The 11,358-nt window shown below is 35.1% G+C and overlaps 1 protein-coding gene across 14 annotated transcripts in view; it reads left to right on the top strand.

Annotated features, from left to right (window-relative positions):
- The window catches only part of MAGI2 (membrane associated guanylate kinase, WW and PDZ domain containing 2), a 1,436,613-nt gene that overhangs the window by 744,235 nt on the left and 681,020 nt on the right, over positions 1-11,358 (top strand). The gene's annotated exons all lie outside the window — the stretch shown is intronic.

Below are 11,358 nucleotides of genomic sequence, written 5' to 3'. Positions count from 1 at the left end.
GTAAGTATTGAGGGATATGTAGAAGCTTAGAAAAGAAGGAGATAAAGGGCATTTCCTTAGAGAGATGATAATTTGCAGAGGCACAGAGGAAGCAAAATAACAGTTTATCTAGTTGAAGCCTGAGGGAGGTGTGTGTGGAGTGGGGGTGGGGGTGTGTATGTTGCAGGTGGGGACAGGGAGGCCTGGGGTATTGTTGGGAGAAATGAAGCTGCACTGGCCATGAGCTCTATCTCATTAGAGGCTTTGTATGACATAGTTAAGACGTCAGATTTTATTTTGAAAGCAGTGAGGCATTTTAAACAGGTAGTAATATAATCAGATTTATGTTTTCTATAGATCAATTCATTGGAAGTGTGGAGAGTGGACTGAAAGAGGGAGAGTTAAGAATCTTTTGCAGAAGTACAAGTGAGGCATGATGAGAGCATAGCTAGTGGGCTAATAGCGGGGATGGAGAGAAGGAGACAGATTGGAAGGGTATTTATTATATGAAGGAGTTTGACTGAGTAATATTAAGAAAAGTAGAATATAGGAACTAAGAAGAGAAAAATGTCTTATAAGGTACTTTAAAAAATGAGTATTAGAGTCAAAGTGTTTGGAATCCTTGACATTTGCCTCTGATAATTACTATTTATGAGACTTAGGGGTTACTCATTCATGAAATGGAGTTATTGATACCTATCTTAAAGGGTTGATGTGAGGGTGAGCTTACCACTTAGGAGGCATTCAATAAGTAGCAGTTATTGTTAGTGTTATTAAAGATGCACTTAGCAAAATATAGAGAGCTTGTATTTACAGACACTTCATTACACTTCTTTTTTGAAACATATTCTCCCATTAAGTCCCAAGGGGACTATATGATATCTAGAATGAAATGAATTAACATGTGTAAAATACTTAGAAGAATGCCTGGGATACAATAAACACTGTGTGTTCACTAATATAAACAAATAAGTAAATACCTTATCATTTACTGTGCTTTGCCAATTTACTCTGTCATGCTGAGAAATCAGAAAAGGCTCTGAATTATTCTTGAAAGATGATGGCTTCAGAATTAGAGAGAATTTTATTGGCAACCTAAACCTATAGTGAAGTGAGCTTATCAGTTGAATAAATCTTAAAGTGGATATAGGTCATAATTTCTTTTCATTGAGCTCTTCCTGTCTGAGTTTTAGGAATGGTTTTCAGTCTTTTCAAAGGAAGCTGCATGAATATGAATGCATTCGAATGAAGAAAATTTTAGTTGATAGCACAGATTGAAGATAACATTTATGACTGTTAAATAAGAACTGAATTATCAACTTTAAGCCTTGTCAGTCCCCATCAGTGGAAAATCTTCATGGAATCTGTTTAATTCTTCCAAATTCTGCTTTAATGTAAGATATACCAATATATTACTTTATCATGGTAAATCTTCAATGAGGCATTATATGGGTGGATATAGATTAATCTTATAAAGGGAAACAGTCTATCTGTTATGATTTTAAGAGATAAAGGACTAACCTTTACTTACATTTTACTTTGAATGCTTTTTCTTTCCATTTTACTATTTTAGAAGTATCTCATACCAGACTGCACTAAGCCCCAAGGTTAAGGCTAAGGTATTTATGAGAGTAAAATCAGGGTAGAGAATGTTTTTGCCAAATAGTAATGAAATCTAGGTATGTAAAACAAGATTATCTCATTAAAGCAATAAACACAAAAAGATATTAGGGACCAGATGGAAATTCAAATAGGAAACTCTATAATGAGATATAAGAATGCAAATCACCCAGAGTAGAGTTTTTGCACATTTAAGTGTAGTTGCTTTTGTCATGAAAACACATACACATAAAATACAATCTGTTAAACTATTTGTATTTGAATCATAAGAATTTCTAAGTAGAGAAATAATAATGTTTATTTGGGAATCAGTGCCTATAGGTATTATTGTTACTTTTAGAATGAGTGTTAAGTGTGAAGTTTCAAGTAGTGTCTGGCACAACTTAGCAATGTTTTAGAGTCAGAAGTTATAATTACACTAAAAATCATATTTAGGCATATCCAATAAGTATAGTCACAGATTCACCTTTCAGGCATATTTTAAGGAATTTTTGTTAATAACACATCACCAATTAAATGTTAAATTTTAGAAAACCTCAGTGATTTGGTATATAATTTTTAAAAACTATCTGCCATCATCCTTTCTTCATTTTTTTCCCTTCCCTTGGTCTAATGGGTGGTTCTTTTATTCTTTGCTAATTTATTCTTTAATATTGATATCTTATTCACTAACAGTCCTCAAAACATTTAGGTTCCTATTCCCCTAATTAAGTTAAGGGTGTGGCTCTTGAGGTAAACCCAGCTGCATTCAGATACAGGTGGGGGTTTTAGTAGTTGTTAGTTTCTTTGATAGTTTCACAATGTAGATTCCAGAGCTAGAAGTGAGAATTCAGTACAAAGGAGGCTGAAATGTACTTCTGGAGGGCCAAGTCATTCCCATTGCTCTCCAGGGTACCTCCACACCAAGGCCTGTTGACTCACAGTCCTGTTGACCTGAGTCTGTTGTATTCACACGGTGTTCTTTTTTTTCCCTTACTGCTATTTTCCCATTTCTAATGCCCTACCCTAGACCTTCAAAGGAGAAAAACAAAAACCAAAAACAGTCCTATGCATTGTTTCAGGGCTGGCTGCAGTTTCACTACCTTTGCCAAGCTATCTTCTGTTCTCCACATTTCCCTCTTAGACAGATCTCCAGTTTGAATATAGGAGTCGATAATTTAAATGTGATTGGATTACACTGTTGGCTAATTGTTTTGTGTTCATTAATTTTGCTTCCCAAAGTTAATATAAATTATGTAAGGACAGGGGTTATTTATTCAGTATAGATACAAATATATTGGTTTTGTGTGTATTTATAAAAATTTAAATTTCTTAATGTGACTTCAAAGTACTAAGTTTCTCATATAGTTCACTGTATTAGTCTGTTTTCACACTGCTGATAAAGACATAACCGAAACTGGGAACAAAAAGAGGTTTAATTGGACTTACAGTTGCACATAGCTGGGAAGGTCTCGGAATCATGGCGGGGGGTGAAAGGCACTTCTTATATGATGGTGGCAAGAGAAAATGAGGAAGAAGCAAAAACAGAAACCCCTGATAAACTTTTCGGATCTCATGAGACTTACTCACTATCACAAGAATAGCACAGGAAAGACCTGCCTCCATAATTCAGTTACCTCCCCCAGATCCCTCCCATAACACATGGGAATTCTGGGAGATACAATTAAAGTTGAGATTTGGGGGGGGACACAGCCAAACCATATCATTTACTAAATGACTCCTAACCAGAATATTAATTTTTGATAAATGGGCATGATGCTTGAGATACCATTTACTCCATTTAATATAAAAACTAGAAACTTCAGGTTTTCAATATCACATAGCTACTCTATGGTAAGTTTCCACTAGAACTCAGCTAGTTGTGCTTGTTGCCCATTTGAGAAAATTGATGGACAGTCTTGCTGTGATTGGCAGTGTATTTGTCAAAGACAATGAAAGCAGGAAACTGTCATTTGTTAAAAACTAGGAACAAACAGTTTAAGGCATCTTTATAAGAATTTGCTTTAGAAAAGTTCATTTCCAGTCACTCTTTGTTGCCTGGAAATGTTAAGTCAAAAGGACGTTAATCCAGTCAGCTATTTTTTCATAGGAAAAATATAAAATTATCTGTTTCTAGTTTCTTTCACAGTTCTCCCAGAAAATATTGGCCTACATGACACAAAACGATGTACCCAAACACCAGGTTTGCAAACAAAATGAGAATCAGCTTCTTCACAGTCCACTGGAATCAGCTTCTTCTCAGTCCACTGAAGGAAAGTTTGTCAGCATCACTTGAGCAGTCCTTATATACATTTAATAAGGAGAAAATCAGTGGTTATCTGGCTTTAGATTTACCCTGGAATTAAAAGCAGTGGTGCACTGGTATATTAGTCAATTTTCACACTGCTATAAAGAAATACCTGAGACTGGGTAATTTATAAAGGAAAGAGGTTTACTTGACTCACAGTTCCACATGGCTGGGGAAGCCTCAGGAAAATTACAACCATGGCACAAGGCAAAGAGGAAACAAGGACCTTCTTCAAATGGCAGCAGGAGAGAGAAGAGAGAGTGAAGGGGGAAGAGCCCCTTATAAACCATCAGATCTTGTGAGAACTCACTCACTATCATGAGAACAGCAATGGGGGACCACCCTCATGATCCAATCATCTCCCATCAGGTCCCTCCATTGATATGTGGGGATTACAATTCAAGATAAGATTTGGATGGGAACACAGAGCCAAACTATATTAACTGGTAAACCAGTTCTTCCCCCAAAAAGGAAAGGAAACTCCAATTTACAGTGTTTGCCAATTTCTGTGGTGTAAATATACCCTCCGCTCACCCTCTACCCTCAAGTAGGCCCCAGTGTCTGTTGTTCCCTTCTTTCTGTCCACATGTACTCAGTGTTTAGCTCCCCCTTACAAGTGAGAACCTGCAGTATTTGTTTTTCTGTTCCTGTATTTGTTCACTTAGAATAATGGCCTCCTCAGAGGTTGCAGTGAGCCAAGGTCATGCCATTGCACTCCAGCCTGGGCAACAGAGTAAAACTCCGTTTCAGAAAAAAAAAAAAAAAAAAGAATAATGGCCTCCTGCTCCTTCCATGTTGCAGCCAAGACATGATCTTCTTGTTTTTCATGGCTGCATAGTATTCCACGGTGTATATATACTAACTTTTCCTTATCCAGTTTACTGTTAATGGGCATTTAGGTTGACTCAATTTCCTTGCTGTTGTGAATAGTGCTGTGATGAACATGTGCATGCATGTGTCTCTATACCTTTGTGTATTTACCCAATAACGGGATTGCTGGGTGGAATGGCAGTTCCATTTTAAGTTTTTTGAGAAATCTTCAAACTGCTTTCCACAATGCTTGAACTATTTTACCCTTGTACCAACAGCGTGTAAGTGTTCCCTTTTCTCCACAACTTCACTAGCGTGTTATTTTTTTACTGCTTTATAATAGTCATCCTGACTGGTGTGAGATGGTATCATACTGTGATTTTGATCTGCATTTCTCTAATGATTAGTGATGTTGCGCATTTTTTCATATGCTTCTTGGCCACATGTATATCTCCTTTTGGAAAGTGTCTGTTCCTGTTTTTTGCTCACTTTTTAATGGGGTTGCTTGGTTTTTTGTTGTAATTTGTTTAAGTTCCTTATACATTTTGAATATTAGACCTTTGTCAGATACATAGTTTGCACATATTTCTCCCATTCTGTAGGTTGTCTGTTTACTCTGTTGATGGATCTGATATGCAGAAGCTCTTTAGTTTAATTAGGTCCTATTTGTCAATTTTTGTTTCTGTTGCAATTGCTTTTGGCATCTTTGTCGTGAAATCTTTGCCAGGGCCTATGTCCACAGTGGTATTTCCTAGGTTATCTTCCAGGGTTTTGATAGTTTCAGGTTTTACATTTAAGCCTTTAATCTAACGAGTTGATTTTTACATATGGTATTCTTTAATTAACTAATTTTGTTCCTCTAGTTCTAAGCTGTTCATTGAAGAAAAGTGTGTGTGTGTGTGTTTGTGTGTGTATGTGTGTGTGTATCTTGAATATCACATATTCCATTTAATGTGAGAAAAAGACCAAATCAATAAACCCATGGTGGCATGGTATATAAACTAAGTTTCAGGTAACAAAACACAAGTGATAAATTACTTTTAAAAATAGCATCAGAAATGCAGAGTTTATGCATTTGTTTTACCACACTCCTCATATTTGAAGCAATTGGCTTGTGATTCATATCTATAGGGAAGTGCTTTTTGGAGCATTAGTTCATGGACAACCACTGTTGTATCTAGAACAGTCATATTATCTTTACAGTCAGAGTTATGAAGATGAAAAACTGTATCTGTATCCATTCAACGCAAAATGATTTAGCCTCTTTAGATAGCAGATGAGAAATTCTGAAACTTCACACGTTCAATCTCAAAATGTTTGCCACAAAACCTGCACCATTAATATTAATTTCTTTCTTTAACCCTCTTACTTGTGTTACAGTCTGCTTCTACAACTAGATACAACTTGGAATTGTAATCCAGCCAGGGGGTTATGCACTTTAAATGGTAACATATTCAAAACAGACACTGTCTTCTTACAGATGAAATTAAGAAATATAAACTTTTGCAAGAATAAATTGAACACTATACATATTCATTGAAAGCTACTATTTTCCTAGGCAGTAACTCAATATTTTCTTTGGCTCTGGGATTTTTTTTAAACTTTATTTTCTGTACTGACTTCTATGATGTCACTTACTTCTGCATTTCTTTCTAACTTTGGCCATGCCTTTTCAGTCTTCTTTCTCACCCTTGCTTAGTTACCTCCCAAGTTTTGAAAATCTTCCAACATTATTCCTCATACATTACTCATCAAGATTTCTCCACAAACTCTTCTTGGGTGATTCTTTTAACCCATGACTCAACAGTCACTTATAAACTGGTGACTCCAAATCTGCCTCTAGCCCCAGACTTATTTAACCAACTGCATAGCAGACAATTCCACCCAATTGTTCACAAATACTCACAAACACTCTGTGTCCAAAATTGAATTTATCATTTCTTCAGCTCTTTGTTGACCAGTTTTATCTACCTAGTCATCCAATAAATGCTCCTGGAATTTATAATAGATGCTTCCTTTCTACCTCCAAATCTAATCACCCCACATGAAAGGGGTGGGGAAGAGCAATCATCTTGTCTGGAAAGAAGAAAGAAATGGAATATTTATTAACAGCTTTAATGACCATAGCAGATAATATTTTTATAACTTTTATTTATTGGGGGGCTAATCTCTATCATTGTTCTAATTATTTCACATGTATTAAGTCACTTAATCTTTATAACTAACCAGTGAGGAAGGTGCTAGTATTATCCTCATTTCAAAGTTAAGTAACATGAGACATTATTCTATTTAGTGACTATAAACAAGATAAAAAGAACTTTCAATTAAGTAAATCAAGAAGTATTAGGAATCCTTACTCTTGCTTGTAATGTTTTATACATTACAGCTCTTAGAAGTTATTACTTAAGTCACAAGAGAAGCATAAATTATTTTTAATGGAAAATTAATCTGGCATGTATACCTTGCTCTCCTGCATACCTTTTTCTACAATTCACATAAGTGATTTGTGGAAAATGATTTCAAATAGTAATCAAACTTTGGCAAATGAATAATGTATTTCCCATTAGACCAACCATGTGTACTGTGAATGTTTTTGAAATACCAAATGACAGTTGTACTTGATATCCAGTAGAGAACTCTAGACATAATTGCACTGAACTGTACCATTTGTGTTCAGATCACTCTCCACCATTTATTCCTTTCTCAAGGGGAGTTCCCTTCTTCTATTAACTTTGTCTAGAATTATGAGAATTCATCAGCAGGAGAATCCTGGCACATCCTAAATAGATATGATGCATCATATTCTCCTGAAGACATTTGTTGCTCATTGAAACCTTAGGGAAATTCCAAAAAGTTAGTTCTCCTCAAAGGTTGCAGGGGATTGGAAATGATAAAATTTAGTATGGTTTAAGGAAAAGTGAAAACGTGATTATAAGAAAGCCTTTTAACTGGAAGTGTTTGGGAGAATAAACAAGTATAGCTGTTTGTAAATTGACATTTTATTAACCCGTATGAGGCCAAGGCCAGTTTCCAAAAAAGTAAAGTTTATGAAGGAAGGAAGGAGGAAAGTAAGGAAGGAAGAAAAGGAAGAAAGAAAAGGAAAAAGGCAGGGTGAGCTTGTTTTGATTCCTATTAACTAACCTGGATTAGAGAAATTCTTAGCACAAATACCACCTTTTCTGTGAACTTAGTGTTCCTACACCCTACGTAAGATTCCAAACATGAATTATGTATCCCTTGGCTTCTGAAGAGCAAAAGAAAGAAAATCATCATCAAATGTATTTAAAAACTGTGGTCCCACATGTACTCTACCTTACATTTTATTACAAATATGATCTGCATTTCCTTTCCACATTTTGAACAAAACAATATTTTATTAACCAAATCTCTCAAATTTTCCCAACCCCATGCCAAATGTACCCAGTGTAATAATTCACCTCCTGGAATCTTGTTTACAGTCAAAATCACAGAGTCTGATCAAACCAACCAGATGTTTATATAGTGAACATACTAATGAAGGCCCCAGATATTGATATCGTTAGGTGAAAATAGATTTAACCTTTGATTTTATATTCTAATTTATAATTAATGTTCAGTCTTTCTTACTGTAAAATTTTTATAATGGAAAAACTGAAGAAATGACAACATGGATTTTTATCAGTCTCCACATTTCAATGTTATAGAAACAAAATATATTGTAGACTTCATGGATTACTTTTTAGATATTTATATTAAAATTTAATATTTTATTTATAATATACTTTCATATATTTAAATTATATGTAAATGTAACACACTTACTATACTAAATTTATTTAAATTTAATATATTACTTTTAAGTATTTTTTCCATTTGCTTAAGTAAAAATTATGCCCATTTGACAGAGTGTATTTAAGAGAAGTTGAATCTATACAAAGGTGTCAGAGAACTGTTGAAAAGTGTCACGATGAGAAATGATAAACCTCAATTTGGTGATATGACTTTAGGGTAAATTCAACTCAATTCATAATCATGTTTTTTGTTTATTCCATCACAAGCAATATATATCCTAACAGTCAGATATCTTCAATCTTTGATCAAACAGAAAATTGCCAATATATATGGTAGGTATACTGATTTGTTCAAAGTGGTTGAGAAGAATTGACTAGAAGAAACAAAGTTTTAAATTATGTTTCAGGTTTAAACACTGTCAGATGGACTTTTACTAAAACCTTAAAAGATGAGAGTTAGCAGGTTGAGCCTCTCTCTCAAACACCACATATTTTCTTAAGGTTTTTGTGGAGCTGAAAAATAAAGAACTTAGTTTTAGGAAGAAGATAAACAAGAAGCTTCCAAATTCATTTTAATTTGAGTCTTATCTGAATTGATTAATAAGCATAGTATGTGAACTATCTCCTACACTGACCATGCTTTTCACAAACATCCACAACATGTTTCATAACAATTCCAATGGGCAAACACAGATTGGAGAGGAAAACAGTCTATCAAGAGGAGAATCTCTATCTCCTACCATTAAGTGGCAAATGTAATAGAAACAGAGCATAGTCAAATGTAATCTGACTTGAAACTGTTCTATCAACCTCATTACATAGCAAAATAAATCTGTTATTTGCTTAGCTTGGCGGGTCATACAAATTACTGATTGCTTGGCTTTTTCTCAGTATGAGAAAACAATTTATAGCACAGTAGATAAATAAAATAATTTTAGGTCCAAGTGATTTGCTTCATAATTTCTATTTAACTAAAATTAATTTCTTGCTTAGAGAGAAATTCATGGTTTTTATTTCATAGTTTCTCTTCTCAAATGGGGGACTTACATTATTTTGTTTCCATGTGGCCTAATTTTCTGAATTTTATTTTGATATAAAAGTTATATGGATATTTTTTAAGTTTTGAAAGTTTCTTGGTACTCACTTTTTATGGTTGGAGGGTCTTTTGACTTTCAAACTAAAGACAAGAAATTTCACAAATAGATGCCAAAGTGTTATATATGATTATAAAAACAAGCCACAAGATACTGACTTAATGTTATATGAGGAACCTTGTTACACAATTGCCAAGTAAAGTAGGAAAATACAAAATAAGACTTCAAATGCAAGGATGAACCCAATAAGCAGGTTGAGTACACCTTATCCTGAATGCTTGGGCCTAGAAGTATTTGAGATCTTGGAATTTTTTGTATTTTAGAATATCTGCATATACATAATGCGATGTCTTAAGGATGGAACCCACATCTAAACATGGAATTTATTTGTCTTATATACACCTTACATACATAGCCTGAAGGTAATTTCATACAATATTTTAAATAGTTTTGTGCATGAAACAAAGTTTGTGGACAGATGTGGTGGCTCACACTAGTAATCCCAGCACTTTGGGAGGCCGAGGCAGGAGGATGGCTTGAGCCCAAGAGTTCGAGACCAGCTTGGGTAATACAGTGAGACCTTATCACTACACAAAATTTAAATTAGCTGAGCATGTGGCATGTAGTCCCAATTACTCAGGAAGCTGAGGTGGGAGGATTGTTTGAGCCCGCAAGGCAGAGATTGCATTGAGCCAAGATCATGCCACTACACTCCAGCCTGGGTGACAGAGTGAGACCCTGATTCAAAACAACAACAGCAGCAAAGTTTGTGTACAGTGAGCCATCAGAAAGCAAAGGTGTCACTCTCAGTCACCCACGTGGACAATCTGTGATTGTTTATCACCATCATTTCTGACTCTAAATAGTATATAAAGGTAAAAGTATATTGTATGTAAAGTTAAAGTTATATACTGTCAGTGATATGGTTTGGCTGTGTTCCCACCCAAATTTCATCTTGAATTGTAGTTCCCGTAATTGTGGGAGTGACCCAGTGGGAGGTAATTGAATCATGGGGTGGTTACCCTCATGCTGTTCTTCTGATAGTGAGTTCTCACGAGATCTGATGGTTTTGTAAGGGGCTTTCCCTCCGCTTTGTTTGACACTTCTCTCTCGCACTGCCACGTGAAAAAGGACGTGTTGGCTTCCCCTTCTGCCATGATTATAAGTTTCCTGAGGCCTCCCAAGCCATGCTGAACTGTGAGTCAATTAAACCTCTTTCCTTTGTAAATTACCCAGTTTGGGGTATATCTTTATTAACAGTGTGAGAACAGGCTAATACAATCAGGATAAATAAGTATCTATCAGGATAGTATATAAGCAATTATTTTCTTAAACGTACCGACACATAAGTTCCTAATGGTGAAAAACATGACATGCCATAAATACAGTGAAAAGATAATGTATTCAGGGTAACTAAGCAGCACAGTGGCATCACCAAATGAATGAGCCTGGGAGGATCTTTTTTTCCTTAGGGGATGCGGAATAAACTGTGTTGTGGACCTTTGTTGTAACCTGTCCCTTGAGGGCAGATGCCAGACTTTCCACTTGTGGCATAATGTTCTTGCTTGAAATTTTTCAGATTTTGGAACCTTTTGGATTTCGAATTTTCAGATTAGGAATGATCAACCAGTATAATATCAAAGGAAGATTTTATTTGATCAGCACAGTTTTGACAAACTCATTTGATTTCACTGATATAGCTTATTGGAAATATGAATATAATTTCCTGTAACTTCACTGTAGTGGAAAGCATTCGTATTAGTATTTTTTAAAAAAGGAATACTCAGATTCTCTGAAG

Source organism: Homo sapiens, chromosome 7, assembly GCF_000001405.40.
Source record: "Homo sapiens chromosome 7, GRCh38.p14 Primary Assembly".
In the NCBI taxonomy this organism is placed as follows: Eukaryota; Metazoa; Chordata; class Mammalia; order Primates; family Hominidae; genus Homo; species Homo sapiens.
This window is presented reverse-complemented; position numbering and strand designations above follow the sequence as displayed.